We start from the raw sequence: 26,755 nt of genomic DNA on the forward strand, positions 1-26,755 counted from the left end.
GCGAGGCGCCTTCGGGAGCGCGGAGAGCGGGCAGGCAGTGCCACCTGCTGAGAGCCACTCAGGCCGAGCAAGCGGCGGGCAGTGCCACCTGCTATAAATAGGCCGCCAAGGACAGGGTGTGCGACTGTACATCCCGCCACGAGGGCCTGCATCACGCGCGGGGCCCCGCGCCCCCGGCTCCCCAGGGAAACGCTGTGCCCAGATCCTGCGCAGGGGTCTGGATGGGGCGGCGGCCCGAGTACTTCCCCCCTATTCCCCCCACAGACACTGGCTGAGGATGGCCCGCGGGCTTGGGGGCGGGGGGTGGCAAGGAGGGGAGGGAGGCCGCGGCGGACCCGCAGTGCAGCAGCTGTTGCTCGCGTGTGACTCGCCCGTCCGGGCCGTGCTGCCCAGGCACAGTCACACGGCGCAGTGGGGAGGAGGAGGACACCGAGTCCCCCTCCCAGCTCCCCGGGGACCGAGTGGGGAGATCCCGGCTCCTGTCTTCCCCTCGCCTCCAGCGCGCTCGCCCAGGCTGGGAGGAGGAAACCAGAGCCGCGCGCAGACACCTCCTCCTTCTCCTCCTCTTCTTCCTCCTCCTCCTCCTCCTCCTCTTCGGCTGCTGCTCCTGGTGCCGCCACCGTCCGCCGGTGCCTGTTGCTGCCGCCGCCGCGGGACCTGCTGTGTCCTCAGCTGGGTGGAGAAGAGGCGGGCGCCGAGCCGAGGGGAGCCCCCTCCCCGTCCCCCCGCGGCGGGAAGAGCGCAGCCAGCCGGGTGCGATGGACTCCCCGCCCGCCCAGGCCGTCCCCAGGATGCCCCCAAGCACCTGCGCGTCCCGGCCCGGCCCCGGGCTCTGAGCGCGCCGCGGCACAGGTAAGGCGCTTCCTGGGGCTTCGTCCTGGCCACCCTGCTGGCTCCTCTCGGGGCGTCGCGGCCGCCCCCTCCCGCAGCACGCCCCTGCCCCGCCTGGCCGCGGAGGGGAAGGCATCTGGCCGCCCACGGACGCGAGGCCAGGGTCTCTCGGGGGAGGAAGTTCATTGCCATCTCGTTGCCCCCCTTACCCCCCCACCCCCGCCGCCCTTGGACGAAAGCGAAACCTTAATGTTGCTAGCGACCCGAGAGCTCCGCCGGCTTCTCCCCCAACCCCCGCCAGCTCACTGGTCCGCGCATCTCTCCCCTCCCCCCTCCCGCCAATTATCCTAGCGTGTTTGCAAGGCGACCAGATTGGAAAGAGTGTGGTCAGAGTGACCCCAAGCCACGCTTTAAAAGTTCAGGGTACTTTGCAGTAGTAACTTTGGCAGCTCCACCAGTGCGCGCAACATTTCTTTCTATGGGTACATCCTGTACCAGTCATTTTGAAACCCTGCTTCATTGTTTCTAGCCGCTTCCTGATGGCTCTGTGATTATGAGACCCCCCTCAAACTTCACCAGGCATTAAGGTTTTGTTTTTGCTTTTTTTTCAGAGAGGTATCATTTCGTTTGAAATCCACCTAGATGTGGCTTTTCCTGTTTTGATTTTACTTAACATAGCTTATTCTCTGGAAGTTGCTTTAAAAAGAAATTGAAAGTGATGGTTGTTCCTTCCACCAAACAGTTTAATTTTCAGGGTGCCTCATATTAATGGATATGTTTTCCCTTCATAGATTTCTCATTGTTTCCCTTATGATGGGATGATTTCATTTATTAATAAAATCAGACTTTGAAAGAGCATTTAAAAATGACCTGGTTTAAATAGGTCACACCCAAGAAACTCAGCTATCTGTACAAGTTCAAACTTCTAAACTTTTTCAATGAGCTAGGGGTGGTGGCACCCACCTGTAGTCCCAGCTACTTGGGAGGCTGAGGCAGGAGGATCACTTGAGCCCAGGAGTTCGAGGCCATAGTGAGCTATGACTGTGCCACCTCACTGGAGCCTGGGTGACAAAGTGAGATCCCATCTCTTAAAAAAAAAGAGTTTAGGGGACATTTTCTGAAGTGAACACAAGTAGAGCATTCTAACACTATTGAGTGCAAGGAGACCTGGAAGGGACTAAGTGGTTCAAAGCAGGAAATAAAATCATCAGGTGATAATTAAAATAATTTCTTTCCTGTGGATTTGTCCAGCCATTTGCAAACCAGGAGAATAGGAAAAAAAATCACTAGTGTAGTTATAAATTATTACATTACGTTTTCAAAGGAAAATTTTGCAAATGCGTCTCCTTGTCATAGTCTATTGTTATCTACCCCACTGAGAGTGCTGGGGCTTCCCCTTTTCACCACGACAGCATTTCTGGTTGGGTGGCAGTCATGCAGTGTTGACCTGGTGTCCCATAAGGCACAGTTTGTCAAAACACTAGTGGGTATTAGGAGGAAACGTGCAACTCTGAAGCAACAGAGCTTGCCCCTTCTTCCTCATTATCCAGCTGGTGATAATCCCTGTCCCCCACTTCCCTAGAAGACAGCTTTGACCAGGAAGGCTGCAATGACAATGAGATGTACCCCTATGCAGAGCCAGATGTGGGCGGGTGGCTTTTTTGTGGTCCAGATCTTCTAGGATCTTCTAGGATGTAACCCTGGCAAGCAGTGGGGAGCCTGAATCAAGCAGCATGGCTGTTACCTCTTCTGTGTTCACAGCAGCATCTTCAGTTGTCTTGGTGCCTGGAGCAGGCACCACAGCTGCCTGCTCTGTTGGCCACCAGCTTTCTAGAGTAGATGGTAGGGAGGAGAGCAAGGGGCTCAAGAGGATTCTGTCTTTGAACATGCTTTTAATTTGATCTGACAGAATGGCAGCTCCCTGAAGTCCTTCCTACTCTCTCCACAGCATTTCTCTGTAGGTCCCCAGTTTTTGCTCTTTTCAGATTCCCAGAGGACTGAAAATGTATCACGGCCCATTTGGGGACTTCCTGTATATGTGTGGGTGCCTCAGGATCATTTGTTTTGCCCTTTTCCAGTCTACCGTGCTGCCCTTCTCAAGTTTAATGACCACGTTAGTTTCAATATTTTATATATTTCTCAGCAGTTTTCATCTCTTGGTCATTAAACTTGAGAAGTAAAATCTGCTCATTAAAATGACTGAGTCCATGGCCAGGCATGGTGGCTCATGCCTGTAATCCCAGCACTTTGGGAGTCCAAGGCGGGTGGATCACTTGAGGTCAGGAGTTCGAGACCAGCCTGGCCAGCATGGCAAAACCCTGTCTCTACAAAAATATAGATCTACAAAAACTAGCCAGGCATGGTGGCATGTGCCTGTAGTCCCAGCTATTTGGGAGGCTGAGACAGGAGAATCGCTTGAAGCCAGGAGGCGGAGGTTGCAGTGAAACATGATCGTGCCACTGAGTCCATTCAGCAGCAGAGTAGTGTTGGGGTTTGTATCCCTGTAGTGATGACGAAGGATTTAGGTTTTCAGTCAGAACTGTTACCTTACAATTTCCTTCACTGACTTTTCTTCCTTTCCAACACCACATTCCAATAAAAAATATCTTTAGACCAGATTCTTCACGAAAGACATGAAGGTTTTCATGCTTCAAGGTTTTTGACTTTTTTTTTTTTTTTTGAAAGGAGTCTTGCTGTGTCACCCAGGCTGGAGTGCAGTGGCGTGATCTCAGCTCACTGCAACCTCCGCCTCCTGGGTTCAAGTGATTCTCCTGCCTCAGCCTCCCAAGTAGCTGGGACTACAGGCGTGCTCTACCACGGCCGGCTAAATTTTGTGTTTTTAGTAGAGGCGAGGTTTCACCATCTTGGCCAGGCTGGTCTTGAACTCCCGACCTTGTGATCCACCCGCCTTGGCCTCCCAAAGTGCTGGGATTACAGGTGTGAGCCACGGCGCCCGACCAGTTTTTGACATTTCTAAGCCAAAAGTTCCATTTGATGAGGTCTTAGATGCAGGGGCAATGTGTCCCTTTTCAGATTTCAGATGTTTAGAAAAAGATGTGTCATATTTGGGCCAACTGAAAAACTCTTGATATGTAGGTTTTTATGAAGCTGTGCAGAATGTAGGAAATACATTTTAGAACCAACAAAGAGGCATTTAATTTTGAGTGTGCCTGTCTCCTTTGAGATGAGCAACAGCTATTTTTCTCTTCAAAAGACAATGCGTGTATTTATCAGCACATTTTATATAATCAGCAAATCTAAACCTCTGAATTAGGTAAGCCCTATAGGTTTGTTGCCAGAATTAGTGAATTTATACATGCAAAGTGCTTAGAACAGTGCCTGGTACACAGTGAGCACTCAATATTATTTATTGCTATTATTATGTTTATTTATTTTATACTTTTAGAGTATAATTTTGATGTTAGGTTTGGATTGCTGAGGCCAAGCAAAATTTAGATAGACCAACCCAGCTAATCCACTAGAAAGATATTTGAGGGTTATTCCCATCTAAAGATCTATGGGATCTTTGGATATCATCTGTGAGAAACAACAGAAGTTTGTAGATAAGACAGATATAGATTCAAATGCCACCTTCACAATTTATTAGTGAGGGAACCCTTTGGTAAAATGAGCATGACAAAACCTACTTCTCAGCTTTGTGAACGTACAGAAGATCATGAATGTAAAATGTCCATGAAGTGGTAGGTGGTCAACAGATATTGCTCTAGCAAAGTGGTTAAGAGCAAGCAAACTCTGGAGCCAAAGGGCCTGGGTTCAAATCCCGATTCTGCCACTTCTTATAGTATGGCCTTGGGCAGGTGACCTCACTTTTCTGTGCCACTATTCAATGATAATATTCCTTTATTGTCCAACGTTTTGTAAGTTAAATCAGTTAATAAACACACTATGATAATGTGTTGGTAACTATTCTTTTTACTTTTAGCAGAATAACTTAAAGGAACACTGCAGGTAGGAGGGTTATACATAATCTCTGAGGGCCAGCTAGGACACTCGCCCATTTCCCACCCTTTTTCCTGTGCAATGAAGAGTATAAGAAGTGACAGTGCCATTCTAAAGGACTAGCCTTGAGTTGGCTCTAATTTATATGACTCGTGCCTGTAATCCCAGCACTTTGGGAGGCCGAGGCTGGCAGATCACTTGAGGTCAGGAGTTGGAGACCAGCCTGGCAAACATGACGAAATCTCATCTCTACCAAAAATACAAAGATCAGCCGGGCATGGTAGCACACACCTGTAATCCCAGCTTCTGGGGAGGCTGAGGCAGAAGAATTGTTTGAACCCAGGGGGCGGAGGATGCAGTGAGCTGAGATCACGCCACTGCACTACAGCCTGGGTGACAGAGTGAGATTCTGTCTCAAATAATAATAATAATTTATATGAGAAAGAAGTCATTCAAAAGCATCATTACTTTACATGTCAAATTAGAAAGGCACACCCCAGTACTAAAGCATCCTTGATGATGAAAACATTTAGAACCACTGGTTTCAGGAGCTCCATGCAATGGTGAAACAGCCTCTACTCCAAGGGTTGTTGCTCCCTGTGGGATTCCTGGGTGAGGAACACACTGCTCCCGTTGGGGTGGAATCCTGTGGAGGAAGTGGATGAAGAGTGTAGCCAAGTCAGTGAGCCTACTGCATGGGATTAGAGTACTTCAGGTTGCAGTATAATTCTGTTCAGGTGCATGCTCACTCCATCTGGCGTAAAGAACAGAGAAATTAAACCATTGATTCACAGAGCAATATGAGTAGCTGCCTGGGGACTTCCTGTCCATTCTGGGGTCCCCAACAGCCAATCAATATTGGCCGGTTCCTAATCTGACCTAGAGCTAGAGGCCACTAGCACCCCTCCATTCATCCTTTCTTCTCTCCCTACCCACTCCCACCAGCATTCTGAGGAGGTGAGGGCTGAAGCTGCAGAGGCTGTTGTACTGTCAGTTACTGTAAAGTCCCCATCCTGCTCTCTGTAGTTTGCTGTGAAGGAGTGGAGGGGGCTGGGAACAAAGGGGGTTCCCAATAAGCAGCTTACTAATACCTACCCTTGCTTCTCTCACTTCCTGATCAATAATTCCCATCCTTTCTTCATGTACCTCCCCCACATTTTTGTTCTTTAAGGGAAGAAGGGAGCAGCTTTCCATCCCCACACAATGTTGGGGACATTTGGTATTATACATTATGAAAATAAGATTTACCAGATTTTAGAGATGGAAGAAAACTTGGGGATGATCTTGTTCCATTCTCTTATAAGAACAAACAATATTTGGAGAAGCTGAGTAACTTGCTTTTTCAACTTCACACTTGAAAGTGTTTTCATGAGGAAGTTGGGGTTCTCTGCAGCACTTGGATGGGAGTCAGGGACTTGGATTGTCCCAATTCTGTCACTAAATTTGGACAAGCCACTTAACTTTTCCAGAATCTAGTTGCCTCATTTCAAATATTAGGGAAATTTCTAAATGGCTTAAAAGGAGCTTGTTAGCTTTAAAATTTTATGATTCTAAGTGTATGCTGCCAGAGATATGTAGCATAGCAGGACACATTAACAAGATTATTGAAACTGTTCTAATAAAGGACATCTTTGTGTCTTGGGTAGCTACTATGTTTAAAGACTGTGCTAGGTGGGAGTTGTGCAGAATACACAGGTTTGCTGTAGAGGGATAGGGCGTGTACACAGACAACTCTACTAACAAGAACGTTACTAGAAGCTTATTGGAATCACAGTATTTCTTGCTGAGGGTATGAAACATAAGAGTTCTCCTTGGAATATGAGGTTCTATTTGGGGCTTAAAGAATGGTCAAAGGTTGAGTGCAAATAACATGGATTGAGATGGCTTTAAAAAATAATCAAATGGTTTGTTAGTATTAAACTGGTGCAGAAATAATTGCAGTTTTTGCCATTCCTTTTAATGGCAAAAATTGCAGTTACTTTTAAACCAAATCCCTAATATTATTTGCATAGTTTATCTCTGTTATGGAAGTTTTTATTGACAAGTAATGTAGATATTCACCTGATCTAAGTTACCCTGAATCTTATATTAGCAGAATCTGAATTGCTTATAAATAATTATGGCTATGTTGGATGTAGAACTTATTATTTGATAGTTTATGAACAGTGCTAAGGTCTAATCTACTTTTTACAGAGAAGCTAAGAACATGCTACAGCTGGTTGAAAAACAAAAACTTCAGGCATTGAAATGTTTTGTCAATGAAATGGCAGGACTCATTTGATGACTGATTATTATCAACTGATTTAAATGACTGAATTTTTGGTACTGTGTACATCTATACTCTAAGAAGGAAATTGAAAGTAATTCTGCTATGCTTGTTGCCACTATATTAATAACTGCATCATCTAAAATAATTGATAGAGCTCAGATTTATCCTTTGTAATAATTCTAGTACTTCTTTAAACATGTTTTGGGATTAGCAGCTGTCAACAGTTAGAACATGAAACAGATTCTGTTACAGGAGTAGAAGTCGATCCAGACATTTAATGTCATTTTCACCTGTGAGAGAGAGAATAAAGAGAAAGAGAGATCATTATTTATGGGATTATGTGAACTTCAAGTCCGTTTTCATTATTAGGAGAAGCTGTGCTTTAAAGGACAGTCAGGGACTTTACTTTCATGAAATGCCTGAGCTGTAAATAAAGTATTGCTTTATTTTTTATTTCTTGAACATTTGAAATAAAAAATTAGCTATGAGTTATGTTCAAATTATATTATAAAAATTTGCTCTTAGCATTGTGCATATATATTATACAGAAAAACACAGAGTAAAAAGAATAGACTTCAGTTCCTGTTCAGAAAAGGTTTAAAATTTGAATACTGATTTTGGAAACCCCAAACCTTAAGAATTCAAGAAGCTTACGGTCTTCTTGAGGGACACCTATTCAAACTCTTAAATATGGTGATTGGGTAGAAAGTGCAGAAAAGCCTGCTGATACATGCCCTAAAACACCTTGGAAAAAAGAGGTGGTAGTTGCTTGAGGTAGGACTTAAGTACTAGTTGGAAATAGAAGACAAGGATGGAGACTGTTGGTAGATGACTCTCCATGGGTCCTTCCTGTTTCTACACACCTTGTAAGCAGGGCATTGAGTGCCTGTGTTCCAAACTACCTTTTCCATCATGTTTCTACAGCAAACAGTCATGGAAGATAGAAATAGAGTCTTCCTCTGGAGCAAAGGGCAGACACGCTTGCTTCCTGTACTTCCCACTATAAGATATTCCGGCTCCCTAAACTCAGCTGCCTTTCCTGTAACCCACCATGATACAGATGTCACCTGACCTGTGGGAATTGGGGGTCAGGGAACCAAGAGAAATGCTGACTGTCTGGCTACTGTGACTGCCCTGAGTAATAAATTGTCCTTCGTCTCCAACCCAGGAGTCTCATGTTTTCTACCAGCAGGATAACTGTGGCGGGCTAACGTGTTAGTTTGCAAGTAAGGTAAAATCTCAGACCCTTTGCAGTTTGTGGCAGGGATTATATTCTGAGGAGAGAGGAACCGTATGCACCATGGCTCAGAGGCATGAGAAACGGGGAACCATAACTAGTTCTCTATCTTCAGAGCCTTTAAAAGGTGCACCAAGGAGGGCATTTTAGGGGAGAATATAAAGTTGGAGATATAGACACAGCCAGATTCCTGAGAGACCTTATATGCCAGGTAGAAGACTTCAGATTGTATGGGGGAATTATTAGAGAATTTTTAGCAGGGGTGTGATATGATAAATTTTGTGTTGATTAAGTTACTCCAGGAAATATGCGATGGGTGGATTGAAGGATGGGGCACCTTTTCTCTAGGACGAAAAAGAAAGAGTAGTTGGTGAAGTCAGTTAGAGGTAGTAATAGGATGAAGAAGGGATCTGAATGACCCCTTGGCCATTCAGTGAGTAGTGATGCTATTCACCTAGATACAGCACATAGGAGGGAAAAGAAATTCTGGGAAGGAGGGAGATGAGACCGAGTTAGCTTTAAAATAACTAAATTCAGGCCTAGGAGCCTATAGGCTATCCAGATAGAAATATTTAATGGCCTATATGGATCTGGAACTCAGGAAGGAGGCTTCCGTGGGAGCAGAACACTTGGGCACCATTAGGGTGTATGTGGTAGATGCATTCTTGTGCAGCAGTCAAGGGGATGGGATTTAGACTCAAGTGCAAATTGCCCCCCATCTCCTGTGATAAGTGACTGAAGCTCTCCGGGCTTCAGTTTCCTAGTTCATCATAGTGGGCTCTAGCGGATAAATGTTACAAAGGTTAAATGAGACAACATAGGCAAAGTGCGTGGTACTCAATAGAAGTCAGCTGCTGTCATCAGCAGCAGGATCACCAGAATGTGGTGCTTGACACCAAAAGATTAGGTGAGATTGCCCAAAACAGCAGGTGAAATGAGGGGAGAGGATGAAGTCAAACACAGGAAGAAAAGCCTTTGAAGTATGTGGAAAGAAACAACCAGAAAGGTAAGATAAGAACCAGAAGAGATTCAAGAAGGAAGGTGTGGCCGGGCGCGGTGGCTCAAGCCTGTAATCCCAGCACTTTGGGAGGCCGAGGCGGGCGGAACACGAGGTCAGGAGATCGAGACCATCCTGGCTAACACGGTGAAACCCCGTCTGTACTAAAGATACAAAAGAATTAGCCGGGCGCGGTGGCAGGCGCCTGTAGTCCCAGCTACTCGGGAGGCTGACGCGGGAGAATGGCGCGAACCCGGGAGGCGGAGCTTGCAGTGAGCCGAGATCGCGCCACTGCACTCCAGCCTGGGCGACAGAGCGAGGAGCCGTCTCAAAAAAAAAAGAAAAAAAAAAAAAAGTAAGGAAGGTGTGGCCAAGATTGAGAAATTCGTCAGAGCAAACAAGGCAGTCAGGGGCTAAATAGCCTCCTTTAAATTTTACAACCTTGAGGACCTCGGCAACTTTAACAGAATTTCAGTGGATCCCTAGGGCAAACCAGGCCTTACAAACCAGGAATGGATGGTCAATAGGAAGTGGAGACAGTAAGTGTAGACCTTACCTTGGAGGGAAGGAAGAGAAAGAGCCATGGCCAAGGGAAGTTTGAAATCAAAGGAAATATCTTTTTTTTTTTTTTTCGATTGGAGAGACCTCAGTTATTCTTTTAAAATACTTATTGAGCCCCTCAGTTATTCTTTTAAAATACGTATTGAGTCCCTACTTTGAGTCAGGCACTATGGCAGACACGAGGGAGATAGCAGTGAATCAGACAGATGCAACGCCTGCCTTCATGGAGTTTCACCTTAGCATCTGTCCATATGCTAGGGGAGTGGGGCAGGGGCAGGGAGCTGGATACAGGAGAGACTGAAGATCCAGGGAGCAAGTGAGTAAAGAATAGGGCTTGAGATCCCACAGACAACTCAGCTTTGAACAAAAGGGTTTTGTCATCCAATAGGACAAGAAGGCGTTAGGATACATCAAACGTGGTTGTTGAAAACAGAAAAGGGCTGGGCACTGTGGCTCATGCCTATAATCCCAGCACTTTGGGAGGCCAAGGTGGGCAGATCACTTGAGGCCAGGAGTTCGAGACCAGCCTGGCCAACATGGTGAAACCCCATCTCTACTAAAAATACAAAAATTAGCCAGGTGTGGTGGTGCATGCCTGTAATCCCAGCTACTTGGAAGGCTGAGGCAGGAGAATTGCTTGAACCCAGGGGGTGGAGGTTGCAGTGAGCCACGATCGTGCCACTGCACTCCAGCCCGGGCAACAGAGCGAGACTCTGTCTCAAAAAAAAAAAAAGGAAGAAAGAACATAGACAGGGAAATGTAGTTAAGGGAGTTTGGGTTTGGGTTTGGTAGAAGCGTTTTCTGTTTTTTGTTTGTTTGTTTTCAGAAAGAGTCTCACTCTGTTGTCCAGACTGGAGTGCAGTGGCACAATCTTGGCTTGCTGCAGCCTCTGCCTCCTGGATTCAAGCAATTCTCCTGCCTCAGCCTCCTGAGTAGCTGGGATTACAGACACCTACCACCACACCAGGCTAATTTTTGTATTTTTAGTAGAGACGGGGTTTCACCATGTTGGCCAGGCTGGTCTCAAACTCCTGACCTCAGGTGATCCACCTATCTTGGCCTCTCAAAGTGCTGGGATTACAGGTGTGAGCCACTGCACCTGGCCTAACATTGATATCTGTTGATGAGAAGAAGCCAGGTGTTGGAGTGATAGCTTATAGCACATGAACTGAATAAAACAGTGTTTAAGACAATGTTTGCAACATAATAGGCACTGAAGACATGTTAATGGAAGGTGGATTTGTGATTCAGAACCTCTAGACTACCTGGGCGAGTCTTTTAAAATGTAAGTAATATCTTAAGTGATATTACTTGTCCCAGATCAGTTGTTTAAAACTGAGGTTTAATGCTGTCAGAGTAGCACTGTATCGTCTTCTATCATGGGGGCCTTTGTTGGCTTTAGGAGGTTTGTGTTTCATAGTAGTTTCCCAGTGGGCTCTTTGTTACCTGTAATGAGTGTGACAGTTATGCCATAACCAGGTTTTATATGGAATACAATTTTGAGAAAGTTCTTTCTAGGCAGAGAAGCTTATTTGAACCTCTTATTATATTTGGGTTTCAGGCTTTTGAGTTCTTCTGAAATAATAGCCCTTTGAAGGTAGCTATTGCTATGACTTCATTAAATTCTAATGCCTCTGGTTTTCTCCCCCAGGTTTCTGCATATGAAGTGTGTAAAATAGATTGCTTGATCCAAAACAGAAAAACAGTGATAACTGTTTTGCTGAGTTCCCAGACCCTTCCCAAGATGGAACCAATAACATTCACAGCAAGGAAACATCTGCTTTCTAACGAGGTCTCGGTGGATTTTGGCCTGCAGCTGGTGGGCTCCCTGCCTGTGCATTCCCTGACCACCATGCCCATGCTGCCCTGGGTTGTGGCTGAGGTGCGAAGACTCAGCAGGCAGTCCACCAGAAAGGAACCTGTAACCAAGCAAGTCCGGCTTTGCGTTTCACCCTCTGGACTGAGATGTGAACCTGAGCCAGGGAGAAGTCAACAGTGGGATCCCCTGATCTATTCCAGCATCTTTGAGTGCAAGCCTCAGCGTGTTCACAAACTGATTCACAACAGTCATGACCCAAGTTACTTTGCTTGTCTGATTAAGGAAGACGCTGTCCACCGGCAGAGTATCTGCTATGTGTTCAAAGCCGATGATCAAACAAAAGTAAGTGAGATGGAGATCCAAAAGACTAAGGTGTGGCTGGCTGGTTTTTATTGTATGGGGGTCAGGATATTTATTTTAAGTATACTGAAATGAATAAGGAATTAATGCTGCAGTTATAAATTGATTACTTAGCTGAATTTTTGTTTTATGGTGATAGTTTATAGTTTTAAAGCACATTTGAAAACAGATACGAGAAATTATCAGTTTTTGAGTTCAAAAATTCAAGAGAAATCAGTCTAAAACTACTAATTAAGAGCAGAAGTGTTAAGATGTACATTATTTCAGATGAATGTTCTAAAGCCATGCCTCTCAAACTGAAATGAGCTTGTGAGTCACCTGGGGATCTTGTTAAAATGTGAATCTTGATTCAGTAGGTCTGGGGTGGACCCCAAGACTGCATTTGTAACAAGCTGCCAAGAAATGCTGATGCTGCCCTTTTGCAGGTTGCACTTTGAGTGGCAAAGTTCTAAATCTCCACATTTGTAATCCTATTAAGAAAAATATAGTCATTCGTAAACTGTGTAAAAATGCTACTGGCCAGTTTCCCAAGGCATAATGTTCACTTAGGCAAAGGTCATTGATAAGAACGCTGGATATGCATCTAAGTTTTGATGCGATCAGGGGTTCTTTGTGTTTTTTTCTTTCGCAAACCTCAGGTCAGATCTGATTAGCTTGTTATTATCACATGATATGGCTGAAAAAAAATGTGAGACATGGTAAAAGTTCTGCTCTTTCCTCGTTCATTTGTGCTTGCTTTGTTATTAGCATTCGTTGTAGCTCTGGGCAGGACTCATTTGAAGATGCTTGCCCATTTTATGAGGATTAGCTTAGATAAAATTGAAAATATAATGCAAATAGCAACTTTCTCAGTTGGGCTCAGGGCTCCACAGCTAACCCCATGGACTGTGGAGTCTTGCCGTTGTTTTGGGTGCCAAGCAAGCCAAGTCACATGTGATTCAAGCTGTCTGCCACATGTACAGGGCGAGGATGCGAGTGTCAATCCACCTGTTAACTGTCAGTGAAGCCTTGAAAGCTTCTCATATTTTCAAGGTTAAAATCTGGATAGAAATGCTAAAGTTTTCTCTCTGCACTCCATTAGGTTATTTTATGTACTCTCTAGGGTGTAAGGACCTTATTTAGAAATTAATATTCTTGGTATCAAGTAGATGCCCTTTTGCTTGTTCATTTGTTGGTTCTTCTAGTCATTCAGAATTGCTGTTGCAGGTACTGTTGGAGATGATATTAGCAGAGGCTTGTAGGAAGGCAGGAGCATCAGTGGGGAATAGGACCAGGTGATCTATGTATAGGACATAATGGAAGGACTGAGAAGGGAGCCTAACACACACCCAAAGGGTAGAGAAGGCTTTGTGAAATAAAGGCTAATATGGAGCTCAAAACCACCATTTCACTCACAGAATCAAACTCTCATATTATAAATCATTTCATGTTATTGTCCACACATCTCAAGTGGGCACGGCAGCATCAGGCTTGGAGATTCAGAGGGACTAACTTCCTGTACTCTAATCCTACTTCTGCACCCATAAACTGGGTGGCCTCAGGCAATTGAGTCTGTTTTCTTATCTGTTAAATGGGGATAATTACAGTATTTATCCAATAGAGTTGCTGGAAAGACTAAATGAGGTAGCACTCGACCTGAAACTTAGTAAGCATTTATAGCCATAAAAACATTTTCATTCAAGAAAATTTTACTAGAGGCAGATTATATGCTAATTTCATTTCACGTCTTAGGTAAAAAGAAACATGATACCTAGATGAGTGCCTTCAGCTTTCAAAGATGAGATTCTGGTCATATTTGAGGAACATTTTAAAAACTACACGTATAACTTAATGGCTCCTATTATTTGGACAAATTCCAGAATGAAAATGAGAGGACTGAACAGCCTGTACCTCAGTCCAGCTCTATATAGTATTTGGACTGAATTTCCTTGGGGAGAGTTTGTGCGTGGAATCGTTGTTCAGCATTTTACACATTTGACTCTTTCCCAAAATCTTTTACGGCCATCTGAGAATAGGCTTCTGGCCAGTCATTCGGATGCCTGACAAGAGAAAGAGATTTATAACCAAATTCTGTAATTGGGACTTCCAGTCTTTCCCCAAGTAGAGAATTGGACTTACTCTATATGCTAAAAACCCATGGTTGAAATATGAATTAGTTCTTAAGTGATTTTTGGCTTGCATACCATTTTTGCAAACACAAATTGTCATTACTCTGCTCATTTAATAAAAGAATAATTTGTAGTATAGGTATATACCTCAATCAGTGATTTTGTTGTTGGAAACAGAACAGTAAATCACACTGGCCATGATGCTAACAGCGTGATAGATTTTCTGTTCTTGGGACACCAATGTCACTGTATCTCATAGCGAAGGATTATCTGCTGTAGGAGCATTCTCTTGACTACTTATAACATTTGCTGGGTGAAATAATTCTCCAGGTTAAGGCCTCTTCTAAACAGATGAGGTCAGCACTAACTGCATTTGCCAGAGAAGACATATGCATTTACTGCCAGCATCATAAACACAAAACTACAGTTTGCGAGGAAACCCTTTGACCAGCATCTAATTAATTCACTGAGTAATGTCTTGGGAGAAGAGGCATGTAAAGGAACAATTTTATAAGCATGCCATGAGATTGTTTTCTATTGTATGTTCCATAGAATATGAGGAAACTTCAAAACATTTTGTGGAAAAATTGAATTAAAAAGTAAAAAACACATATATACATAAGCTTTATTTCTCAAGATAAACTTTATCAAGTTCAAGACACTTTTGTAAGCAATGTTAACAGCCATTGAGTCGGTCTCTAAAGAACTGAGGGTCCTGGGAATTTAACCATGTTTATACAGTCTTTTATACATTATTAACTGGAGAAAAATTGGCGCTCTTTAAAGATTTTTTAAAATTGAGAAGCAAAAGGACGTCAGAAGGAGCCAAATTAGGCCTGTAAGGTGGATGCCTAATGATTTCCCATGGAAACTCTTGCAAAATTGCTCCTGTTTGATGAGAGGAATGAGCAGGAACATTGTCATGGTGGACAAGGACTCTGGTGAAGCTTTCCCAGGCGATTTTCTGCTAAAGCTTTGGCTAACTTTCTCAAAACACTCTCATGATAAACAGATGTTATCATTCTTTGGCCCTCCAGAAAGTCAACAAACAAAATGCCTTGGGCATCCCAAAAAACTATTGCAACCATTTGCCCTTGACCAGTCCACTTTCGCTTTGACTGGACCACTTCTGCTCTCAGTAGCCATTGCTTAAATTTGTCTTGATCTTTAGGATTGCGCTGGTAAAACTATGTTTCATCACCTGTTACAATTCTTTGAAGAAATGCTTCAGGATCTTGATCCCACCCGTTTAAAATTTCCATTAGAAACTCTGCTCTTGTCTGCAGCTGATCTGAGGGCAATGGTTTTGGCACCCATCTAGTAAAACGTTTGCTCAGTGTTAATTTTTCATCCAGGATTGTGTAAGCTGAACCAGCAGAGATGTCTATGATATTGGCTAGTTGGTCCTCTTCAATGAGGGCATGAACAAGATGAATATTTTCCTCAAACAATTATCTGGATGGTCTGCTGCTGCAGGCTTCATCTTCAATATTGTCTCGTCCCTTCTTTTTCTTTTCCCCCCCGCTTGAGACACAGTCTTGTTCTGTTGCCCAGGTTGGAGTGCAGTGGCCCGATTTCGGCTCACTGCAACCTCTGCCTCCCGGGCTCAAGCGATTCTCCTGCCTCAGCCCACCAAGTAGCTGGGATTACAGGTACACATGATCGTGCCTGGCTAATTTTTGTATTTTTAGTAGAGACAGGGTTTCACCGTGTTGGCCAGGCTGGTCTCGAACTCCTGACCTCAAGTAATCCACCTGCCTTGGCCTCCCAAAGTGCTGGGATTATAAACATGAGCCACCACACCTGGCCTCATCCTTTCTTAAAATGAGTTATACATTTGTAAGCTGCTGATTTCTTTGGACATTGTGCCTATAAACTTTTTGTAAAGCATCAGTGATTTCACCATTCTTCCACCCAAACTTCACCATAAGTTTGATGTTTCTTCTTGCTTTGATTTTAGCAGGATTCATGTTTCTCTGATAGGGGGTCTTTTCAAACTGATGTCTTATCCTTCTTAGAGCCTCATCCCAGATCCTGTTCAGACATGCTACAAGTTAATACAAGTTTATTTGGTGCCAAAAAATGGAAATCCATGCATAGTTTTTAAATAATATGCATTTTTCATGAACTTTTTGAAGACCCCTTGTATACTTAAACTGCTCCACATGGAAAAGCTTCCATGATCAAATGCAGTAAGGCAGCATCTCAAACATTTTGTTCTAAGGATTTCTTTTCACTCCTCAAAGTTGTTAAGGATCCCAAAGACCATCGGTTTATTTGGGTTATATCTACTAATATGTACTCTATTAGAAATTAAAACTCAGATATTGTAAAGATATTAATTTGTTAAAAAACAAAAGTAATAAACATCTACATGTTAACATGTTTTTGTGAATAACTATGTCTTCCAAAAAATATTTAGTAATAAGAGTTTTACATTTTTTCAAATCTCCTTAATGTCTGAATTAATAGAAGATAACTGGATTCTCATAGCTGATTCTCTATTCATTCTGTTGTGATGGATTGTTTAATTGAATATATGAAGAAAATTTGGCCTCACACTGCTACATAGTAGGAAAATGGAGCACTATATCCATAGCCTTTTTAGAAAATTGTGGATCTTTTTATTTAATGCTACAACTCGACAAGTGGTAGTTTTTAGAAGGTTAGCTGTAATATGAAATCTGAAACTATATCAAAGTATTTTTTGCACTTTATTATGTTAAAATCCATTGATCTATCTAGCAGTTTTTTTTTCTTTGAGACGGAGTTTCATCTGTTGCCCAGGCTGGTGTGCAATGGTGAAATCTTGACTCACTGTAACCTCCGCCTCTCGGGTTCAAGCGATTCTCCTGCCTCAGCCTCCCAAGTAGCTGGGATTACAGGCATGCACCATACATGCACCATAGGTTACATTTTCTCCTAACACCCATGAACGTCCCTCAGAATGTGTGAACACAGTGGCATAAGGTCCTGGGTTAAAATGTAGTGTTGCCTTTGAGTCCATGGTAAGTAAACATGGTAAGTAAATGGACATATCCACTCTGGAAACTGATGGTTGCATGAGTGACCCTGACTAGATCTTTACCTCATCACATCCCAAAGAAATCAAGAGTCTGCCCAGACTCAGACCTAGAAACATTCTCAAGTCTAAGAAAATCATCTCAGGGTTCTTCTTCTCTCCAGTTCTTCAGCCTTGTCTCTTCTACAAAATCTCTACTCAGAAGAAAATCCAATCTGCCCCTCATACTGATTGTCATTTTAGATCATTCATAAAAGTAATTGCATTTTCATTCTTTTCTTTATCCACGGAGGAAAAAGCTCTGCTTCCTTTAAAGGGACTTTCCAGCACTGAGGAGCAGGTAGCAGAAGTGTTAGGCTGGGGCTTCTGACATTACATGGTGCTGTTTTACATCAGTCAAAGGAAAGAGGGGATTTTGAGTGGGAAATGGCGGGGGTTCTTGAGATGGTAATAGGTGGAGAAGTGCAGGCTGGTGTGTGGTCGAGGGCAGTGGGCAGAGTGTGTGCCGGGCCCAGGGTAAGTCAGAGACAGTGTACATGGAAGTATTTTTGGTGTAAGCGCCTTTTTTGGGGGGTCTCTCTGTCGCCCAGGCTGGAATGCAGTCGTGCAATCTTGGCTCACTGCAACCTCTGCCTACCGGGTTCAAGAGATTCTCCTGTTTCAGACTCCTGAGTAGCTGGGATTACAGGCGCCCGCCACCACTCCCAGCTAATTTTTGTATTTTTAGTGGAGATGGGTTTTCACTATGTTGGCCAGGCTTGTCCCGAACTCCTGGCCTCAAGTGATCCGCCCGCTTCCACCTCCCAAAATGTTGGGATTACAGACATGAGACACTTGTGCCTGGCCACGCCAAATGTTTTTTAACTGGCATTTCTTATCGCACTCGAAATATGTCATGGCTCTTCAAGCACTGTTCTCGACTCTAATAAGATTGTGATCCTCTGGATTTGGTGTCCACTCTGAACGCGGCGTGGGTGTTTAACAACTGTGACGGGACAGATGTCATTAATGTGAAAATGCTCGCAGCCTTCCCCTTTTCCACCCTGCTAAAAGAATCTGGTAATTGCTAGCCTGGTTCCTCCCTCTCCCAAAAAGGAAGTCTTATTTCTTGCTGGGAGAAAGGCTAAGTTTGAGGGGGAACAGTGCGATACAGGAGCATGGGGCCTGGGTGGAGCGGGGGAGAGTGAAACAGAGCAGCTGCGTGGGAAACAGACATGTAGAAATCGACTTTATTAAACGTCGCTGGAGAAGATGTATTTGGATTCCTTTTAATGTCCTTTGACAAAACGGGTTTTCTTTTCTATGATTCTTGGCAATGAAGCTGCATTTCTTGAAGGTGACACATATCTGAGACTGAACCGTGTGGGCTCCCTTACCACTAATTTTAAGACTACTTGACTCTTTGTAGATTTGATTTTAAACCAATAAATGTTTCCTTTTGAAATTTCCTGTAAGGAACCAGTGTATTCTTGCATGAGGCCCTGTAAGCACATCGCCTTTCCCAGTAACGGCATAGGACCTTGTGCCTCCTCACCCAGCCTCTCTGGGCTGCATGTTACCTCGCATATTAAACAAGAAGGCAGTCTGAAGCTGTTTTCTTGTGATTAGCAGGAGTCCATCCCCCGTATCAAAAGCCATTGTTGCCTTGGCTGAGTTTTATTACTTAAATGTAAAAAATTTTTGAAACCTTATTTTTGAGTGTCGCTTTGTATCATTTTGTATTTTACCCATTACTAATTTGTTTTAATAATTCACCGTCTGCTTGGAATTTTAAGTTGGCCACTTAATATATGCACCATTACTTCAGGATTTTCAATAGAGTCTGGCTTCAATTGCATCTCTTGCTTGGCTGTTATATTTGCCGGCTCATTACTTTCTTTCTTCGCTAGAGTGAAGATCGAAGATTACAACACAGAGCTAGAGCATTTTGTTTCTGAGGGTGATTATTTTGAAGAACATAGTATTATTTTTCAAATATTCTCACCTCTTCCCCCTTCTACATTTGGTCATAATTTCTAAACTTCAAACATTTGTCTCTTTTGCTACACAGGTAATGATTCTGAGGGGGTCTTGTTAGGTATGTTTTGGAGGACTTCTTACCTATATTAAATTTCCACTGGGCACCTTTAATCCCAGCCTGATTTATTATGTAAATTTTCATTTGGGGTCCCATGCAGCAGCTATGACTCAGTGCAGTGTATCCATGTCAGCTAATCAGCACTTGACTGTCTGTCACACTAGACAGAAGTTGGTTGCTGGGTGCAAGGGCTGGCAGGAATTTTTTCGTCTATAAAAAGAATGTCCGGGACTGCATGAACTCCGAAGTATTTGTTGGAAGGTTTGGGTTCTTAACACCAGATTGATTACCTAATTTATTTTTGACTTTGAAAAATGAGTCTGTGGGCTCCAGAAGCATACACCTTGTGATAGATGCTTAATTTTTTAAAGTCTTTTTATTGTTTTACACATATGACTTTATATAGCTTTGCATTTTTTACCAAAGGCTTTGAGTTTGATAATTATTTTTTAAAATAAATCCATCCCTAAGAATAGACTTTACAAGTGTCTTGCACCTAAAGTTGACTTGCATCTTAGGGAGATTTATTTATAGCTTAGGTCTTTACTGTCCCGTACAGTAATCAGTAGTCATTTGCAACTACTGAGCACTTGAAATGTGACCAATCTGAAATGAGATATGCTGTAAGTATAAAAAACACAGTGGATTTTAAAGACTTCATTTGAAAAAATATGTAAAAATCTCAATAGTTTTTTTATAATGATTACATGTTGAAATAATATTTTGGGTATATTGGGTTAAATAAATTACATGACTAAAATTAATTTTACTTATTTCATTTTTACCTTTTAAAAATATGCTTACTAACAGAAAGATAAACTTTGCATGTTCTCACTTATTTATGGGAGCTAAAAATTAAAACAATTGAACTCATGGAGATAGGGAGTAGAATGATGGTTACCAGAGACTGGGAAGGGTAGTCGGGGCTGGGGAGTGAGGGGAGATGGTTAATGGTACAAAAAAAAATAGTTAGAAGAATAAATAAGATTTAGTATTTGATACAACGGAGTGACCATAGTCAATAATAATTAATTGTACATTTTAAAACAAAAGAGTGTGATTGGATTGTTTGTAACACAAAAGATAGATGCTTGAGGTGATGGATACCCCATTTATCCTGATGTTGTTGTTACACGTTGTATGCCTGTATCAAACTATCTCATGTACCACACAAATATATATACCTACTATGCACCCACAACATTTAAAAATAAAAGATATTTTAAATATAATTTTTAAAAATAAAATGTGCCTACTAGATAATTTTAAACTACGTATGTAGCTTGCATTCTGTCTCTTCCTGTTAGCCATGGACTAGACTAGCTTCCTAAAAAGTATTTCCAGAAGTAATAGGAATATTCATCACAGAGTGACCGTAGGTTCTCCCCTCCTCCTTTTTTTTTTTTTTTTTTTTTTTGGCTGCCTTTCATTTGTTAATGACTGAATGTTGCTCAGAGTTCTTCCATAAAGGTCACTTAAGTCTAGAAATATATTGCAGTGGATCAGAGCCATGTGGGCCACCATTTTAGGATATACTGAAGTAGCTAAATCTCTTGTTTCTCGCTTTTCTCTCTTCTGAATACCTTTCCTCCCTTTGGAGGCTCAGGCATCCACCCTACTCATTGTGGTCTGTCAGCTTCAACCCACAACCACAGAAGGTGCCGTGCCGGGCTAGCCTGGCACTGGGAAAACTTCAGAAGACACTGGATTGGGGTTGAGATTTGGGGGAGGAGCCTGATGCAGGATTTTAGGGAAAGAGGTGGACTTGAGTGTGGTTGCTGATGTGCATCTGAAGAGTGATTTGGTGGCTGCCCATCCTGCAGGGACCCTTTCCTGGCCGCTTTTATTCTGACCATGCATTGGAAGTTGTCATTTCTTAAGATCAGGTGATGTAGGTATTTGAAATTTTGCAGGTTTGGTGTTCATTCATTTATTGAAATACTACCAATGTGTTGGTCATGTGTTTTGCTGGGTGCTGGGGTACAAAGCCAAACAACGCATGATTGTGCCCTCAAGAACTATAATGGTGTTTTATGTGCCAAATGTAAGTTCTGAATGCCATATTTTCAGGAGTTAGCAAACATCTGCAAGTCAGGAAGAAAAAATTTGGGAGAATAGGAGGAGGGCTAGTGTAATAAATGCCTGCAGTTGTTTGAAAAGCTTCATGTACAAAAAGCAAGAGACGAACTATGAATTGCTCCAGAGGGCAGAACTAGGAACAGTAGAAATTTGTAGAGAGATTTTTGGCTCTTCCTGAGTATAATAGCCATCTAATAATTACATAGGTTATACTGAACAGTGGACATGGATGGATCTTGTCTCAGGACTTTCGCAAGTCATTCTCTATTTCCACACTTCCCAGTCTAAGGAATATCCTACCTGACAATGCTCCCCTCTCTGTTTCAGACAACTAAAGTCGCTCCTAAATTCATTTCATGTTGAAGGGAAGTTGTTCCCTGTAATATCTAGCTGTTCATCGTAGATGTATCTTCTGAAAGGACTCAGGGTAAATGTAATTTATTTTCCATGGGACATTCGAGTGGGTTTTAAAGGACTACTGGCAGTTTCCCAGGCCAATGGGTTGGGTGAGGATTGAATGTATGCTGTAAGTAGAAAATATAGTATGTGCCATGCCATAGCAGGATGGGGAATGATGAGATGCCCACTGTAGCTGGGCCTGCTGGGTTAGAGTTTTACAACTTGCATGGTCAGAGATGAGATAGGAAGGAAGGGCTAAGGCCAGATTTTACAGGGCTTTGTATGCCTTGCTGAAGGAGTTGGACAGTCCCCTGAAAAAGAAAGTTGCTGCTGTGGTCTGAATGTGTCTTCTCCAATATGTCTGTGTTGAAAGTTAACGACCAATGTAATAGTATTAAGAGGTGGGGTCTTTAAGAGATGATTAGGTCATGTGGGCTCCTCCCTCATGAATGCTATTATGATCCTATAAAAGAGGCTTCATGAAACATATTAAGCCCTGCTTCCTTCTTCTACTATGTGAGGATGCAGCAACAAAGCTCCATCTTGGGAGGAGAGACTCAACTCTACCAGACACCAATCCTACCTGAGCCTTAATATTGGGCTTCCCAGCCTCCAGAACTGTGAGAAATAAATTTCTGTGCTTTATAAATTACCCAGTCTCAGGTATTTTGTTATGGCAGCACAAACAGACGAAGACAGTTACTATTAGAAGCACTGATCAGGGAAGTGAAATGGATTAATTTATTTGGAGAATTTGGAGTGAAGGATGGAATAGAGGGATGAGAGACAGATGAGGGAAACTAGTTAGGAGGCTAGCACAGTAGTCGATATGAAAACTCAAGAAGCATCTTACCCATAGTGTAATTAGGAAGTAGCTTGTTCTTGCTGAGTCCATGCTGATGTCTTCTGATCACTTTCCCCTCAATACCCAACAGAGTTTTAATAGTCTGTTGGTCTCCAGTGGAAGAGAAAGTCAGACAGATCCTAATTCTCTGTCCTATTGATGCTTATATGCTTGGTTCCTAAGGAATGGTATGAAAAATAACATAGAAGTGAAATTCCTAACCTGATTTTGCTCAGCCTCCTAAAAAATATATTCAGGGCTGGGCACGGTGGCTCAGGCCTGTAATCCCAGCACTTTGGGAGGCTTAGGTGAGTGGATCACCTGAGGTCGGGAGTTCAAGACAAGTCTGACCAACATGGAGAAACCCCATCTCTACTGAAAATACAAAAATTAGGCAGGTGTGGTGGCACATGCCTGTAATCCCAGCTACTCAGGAGGCTGAGGCAAGATAATCACTTGAACCCAGGAGGCAGAGGTTGCGGTGAGCTGAGATCACACCATTGCACTCCAGCCTAGGCAACAAGAGTGAAACTCCATCTCAAAAAATAAATATATATATATATGTGTGTATATATATATATGTGTGTGTGTGTGTATATATATATATAGGGATATCTCCCATATCACCCTCCGATGACCCCACATCCCATTCCAGCTCCCTCCAGTTACTGGCCCAATTTTTTTTTTTTTTTCCTTCAAGAGTTATAGTGGCTACCTTCACCTGCACTCCCTTGCCTTTTCTTTGGTTTACCAGCTGGGCTTCTGACCTCATCATTCCACTAAAATTGCTCTTATAATGTCACGAGCCACCTAGAGCTTGTGAGATATAGTGGTCCCTTCTTTGTACTTTTCTTACTCAACTTCTCAGTAGCTTTTGTCATAGTTTGGCAAGAGAATGTTTCTTCTATCTTGAAACACTCTCTTTTGGCTCTTGGAGAACCACACCTGCCTGTTTTTCCTTCAACTTTCTAGTAGTCTCTACCCAGTCTTCTTTGCTTCTACCTCTTCTTCTCAATTCTGATTTTTATGTCCCCTGAGAACTTGGTCTCCTACATTTCTCTTCTGGACACCCTTCCAGATGAACTCATCCAGTCTTACAGTGTTAACTACCACCTAATTGATGGTAACTCTCAGTTGTTAATCTATTACTTCAGACTCTTCGAAGAGCTCCACACTTCTCTATTCAACTGCCATTGTGACTTTTCTAGTTGGCTGTTAACTACACATCTCAAACTCAACATGGCTAAAGTAGAACCCTTGATTCCACTCCCTGCAATCTGTTTCTTTCCCAGTCTTCTTCTATAGCTCTAAGTGGTGATGACTGTTGCTGCAGCCAAAGCCTAGGAGTCGTCTTCGATTTCTCTTTTTCCATTATCCCTCATCCAAATTATTCAACCCATTGCAAATACACCACTTCCTTTGCTCCATTACAGAGCCCAAGCCTGAGGCGCCATTATATCTTATCTGGACTACTGCAGTGTCTCCAAACTCATCCCTTTGTTTCTGTTCCTGCTTATTCTTTCCACCAGACATCCAAAGACATCTTCTAAAACCCAATGAAATCATGCCATTCCCCTGCTCAAAACCTCTCTAGTGGCTTCCCCAGTACTTAGACTAAAGTCCTGTATCTTTGCTGGGGCCTATCATGTAGACTTCATCTCCCACACCCTTCCCGTTGCTCTCTGGACTCCAGCCACCCTGGTGTTTATATTGCTCAAACATGACAACCTCATTCTTCACCTGGGATCTTTGCATCCGCTGTTGCCTCTGCCTGGAAGCATGGCTGCTTCCTTAGGTCACTATGGACTCAGCTCAAACCTCGCCCTCTGGCCACCCACTCAAAAGTAGCCCCACACTAAGCAATATCACTTCATCCAGTTTTAATGCCTTCATATTACTCATCATTATCTGAAATTATCTTGTTCAGATATTATCATTGTCCAAATTATCTCGTTCGGAATCATATGCTTCCATGTTAACCACCTACTTACCTGCCTGAGCTCTAAGAGAGCAACGCTCTTGCCTGTCTTCTTCACTGCTAGTCCCTGGCACCTGGAACAGTGCCTGGCACATAGTAGATACTTCATGAATGAATGAATGAATGTTACCTTTTTGTATTAATTCTTGAGGATGTACTCTTCCTTTCTATTTTTTTTAACCTGATATCATCTAGAAGCTCCTGTATTAGTCAGCATTCTCCAGGGAAACAGAACCAATAGGATACACATCATAAAGTACTGGCTCACATGATTATGGAGGCTGAGAAATCTCATGATCTGCCATTTGCAAGCTGGATACCCAGGTAAGCCAGTGGTGTAGTTCAAACGCCTGAGAGCTGGAGAGCTGAAGTCATAGATTCCAGTTGAGTCTGAATGTCTGTGAGCCGGGAGAACCAAGGGAAGGGGAAGATCAGTGTCCCAGCTCAAGCAATCAGGTAGAGAGCAAATTTAACCTTGCTCTGTCTTTTTCTTCTATTCCAGACCTTGAGGTATTGAAATATATACTTTAACATTGGGGAGGGCTGTTGCTTTACTCAGCCTGCTAATGCTAATCTCTTCTAGAAACACCTTCACAGACATACCCCAGAAATAATGTTTAACCAGATATCTGGACATCCCATGGCTTAGTCAAAATTAAGCATCATCACGTCCCCTGTGCACCCATATTAATTTATTTCCTCATTTTTCCTTTCCTCCTTCATCAGGACAGACTCCTGTTGTTCAGCCAGGATTTTGTTCTTAGAAGCCACCCCTCTCTCCCCATCCTTCCTGAGCTTCTTTCCCTTAGAGTTTTGTTCATGGGGTAATGGTCATCATCTCTCAGCTCTTTGGAATCTGCACCATTCTCTTCTTTGGTCTGTATGAATGCAAAATTTTCTTGGCATTTATTGGTGACAGTTGTGGAAGAGATGTCATGAAGGCTGAGCAGCCTTTACTGTTGAGAAAACCCTTGCGTGTAGATTAAGTCCTTTTAGATGCAACTGGAGCCCACTTTCTTGGCATCCATCTTTTTATTCTGAAATGCTTTTTCTGATTATACAAGAGTTGATGCTAAATGTAAGAAATGCATTCATACAAAAGAGTTAGAGGCACAAGTTTCCCCTGACTCCCATCTCCTAGAGGGAAACCAACATTAAGAGACTGGTGTATATCTTTATACATTTTACTGTCTTATTTGTAGAAACAAATGTTTCTGTATGAAATCATTTTTTATATCCTTTTCTACCATTTCTTTTATAACTCAGCTCTCTCTCTTGTTCTCTCTCTCTGTATGTGTGTGTGTATATATGTGTATATATACATATATATATACATATACTTTAAACATCTTTTTATGGTGATAGAGGTGCATCGTTTTTAGCAATTTCGTAGTTGTCCCCTGTATGAAGCAGGGGGAAAGGAAGGGCTAGTTTCATGACTGAAGCAGAGCTGCTGTTTGGGCAAGAACATCATCTTTATTTAGCTTTCATAAACCATCTTGGTTGTGAAAAGACAGCACAGCCAGGATGGGCTGAAAGTGCTTGGGGATGTCTAATCTGCTTAGCATAAGCAACCAACAAGATTCTGGAGAAAGTCAGGACTCAAGAGTATGCAAATCAGGAGCCAAAGTCAAATTCCTATTTTTGATGGTGAGCAGGGGGAATGACTAGTCTTTTAACAACGGGAGGGCTGATGTTTAGCTTTTAGTTAGCTGCTACTGTTTTGTTTTGTTTTGTTTTGTTTAGTTTTCTTGAGACAGTCTCACTCTGTTGCCCAGGCTGGAGTGCAGTGGCATGATCTCTGCACACTGCAACCCCTGCTTCCCGGGGTCAAGATATTCTCCAGCCTCCGCCTCTTGAGTAGCTGGGATTAGAGGCACATGCTACCACGCCCAGCTAATTTTTGTATTTTTGGTAGACACGGGATTTCACCATGTTGGCCAGGCTGGTCTTGAACTTCTGACCTCAAGTGATTCGCCTGCCTCAGCCTCCCAAAGTGCTGGGATTACAGGCGTGAGGCACCATGCCTGGCCTGCTGCTATGTTTTGTATGTTGCCACAGAGTGTCTGAGTATCTCACTCCCTCCTCTGTGGCCTCCCTTTGCTCATTTCCCCAAATACCTATTACAGTTTACCACATATAAGAAGTTGTGTGGGCCAGGCATGGTGGCTCAAGCCTGTAATCCCGGCATTTTGGGAGGCCGAGGCAGGTGGA

At 43.0% G+C, this 26,755-nt stretch overlaps 1 protein-coding gene across 18 annotated transcripts in view, besides 7 other annotated features; it reads left to right on the forward strand.

The window, feature by feature from the left end:
- Nucleotides 107–296: a silencer, noted in NCBI's record as "silent region_15351". NCBI's record gives its function as "represses an Ori minimal core promoter by ATAC-STARR-seq in GM12878 lymphoblastoid cells {active_cell/tissue: GM12878}" and the evidence as "EXISTENCE:reporter gene assay evidence [ECO:0000049][PMID:35858748]".
- Nucleotides 588–26,755, forward strand: part of TBC1D1 (TBC1 domain family member 1) — a 248,090-nt gene continuing 221,922 nt past the window's right edge. For 17 of the 18 annotated variants that reach the window (XM_011513659.3, XM_011513660.4, XM_011513662.4 and 14 more), the window contains exons 1-2: nt 588–852; nt 11,507–12,016. In XM_011513659.3, the coding sequence (XP_011511961.1) occupies nt 11,600–12,016 (417 nt within the window). In that variant the 5' untranslated portion in view covers nt 588–852; nt 11,507–11,599. Of the gene's footprint in view, nt 853–10,681; nt 11,141–11,506; nt 12,017–26,755 lie in introns of those variants that run through there. The other variant, XM_047449890.1, reaches the window with a different exon arrangement.
- Nucleotides 617–1,116: a silencer, noted in NCBI's record as "silent region_15352". NCBI's record gives its function as "represses an Ori minimal core promoter by ATAC-STARR-seq in GM12878 lymphoblastoid cells {active_cell/tissue: GM12878}" and the evidence as "EXISTENCE:reporter gene assay evidence [ECO:0000049][PMID:35858748]".
- Nucleotides 1,896–2,025: an enhancer, noted in NCBI's record as "active region_21417". NCBI's record gives its function as "activates an Ori minimal core promoter by ATAC-STARR-seq in GM12878 lymphoblastoid cells {active_cell/tissue: GM12878}" and the evidence as "EXISTENCE:reporter gene assay evidence [ECO:0000049][PMID:35858748]".
- Nucleotides 2,146–2,195: a silencer, noted in NCBI's record as "silent region_15353". NCBI's record gives its function as "represses an Ori minimal core promoter by ATAC-STARR-seq in GM12878 lymphoblastoid cells {active_cell/tissue: GM12878}" and the evidence as "EXISTENCE:reporter gene assay evidence [ECO:0000049][PMID:35858748]".
- Nucleotides 2,456–2,735: an enhancer, noted in NCBI's record as "active region_21418". NCBI's record gives its function as "activates an Ori minimal core promoter by ATAC-STARR-seq in GM12878 lymphoblastoid cells {active_cell/tissue: GM12878}" and the evidence as "EXISTENCE:reporter gene assay evidence [ECO:0000049][PMID:35858748]".
- Nucleotides 9,055–9,593: an enhancer, noted in NCBI's record as "H3K4me1 hESC enhancer chr4:37901172-37901710 (GRCh37/hg19 assembly coordinates)". NCBI's record gives its function as "activates a minimal SCP1, AML or CMV promoter by ChIP-STARR-seq in primed H9 embryonic stem cells {active_cell/tissue: H9 hESC(primed)}" and the evidence as "EXISTENCE:reporter gene assay evidence [ECO:0000049][PMID:30033119]".
- Nucleotides 10,768–11,331: an enhancer, noted in NCBI's record as "OCT4-NANOG hESC enhancer chr4:37902885-37903448 (GRCh37/hg19 assembly coordinates)". NCBI's record gives its function as "activates a minimal SCP1, AML or CMV promoter by ChIP-STARR-seq in naive H9 embryonic stem cells {active_cell/tissue: H9 hESC(naive)}" and the evidence as "EXISTENCE:reporter gene assay evidence [ECO:0000049][PMID:30033119]".

Source organism: Homo sapiens, chromosome 4 (genome assembly GCF_000001405.40).
Source record: "Homo sapiens chromosome 4, GRCh38.p14 Primary Assembly".
Taxonomy (NCBI): Eukaryota; Metazoa; Chordata; class Mammalia; order Primates; family Hominidae; genus Homo; species Homo sapiens.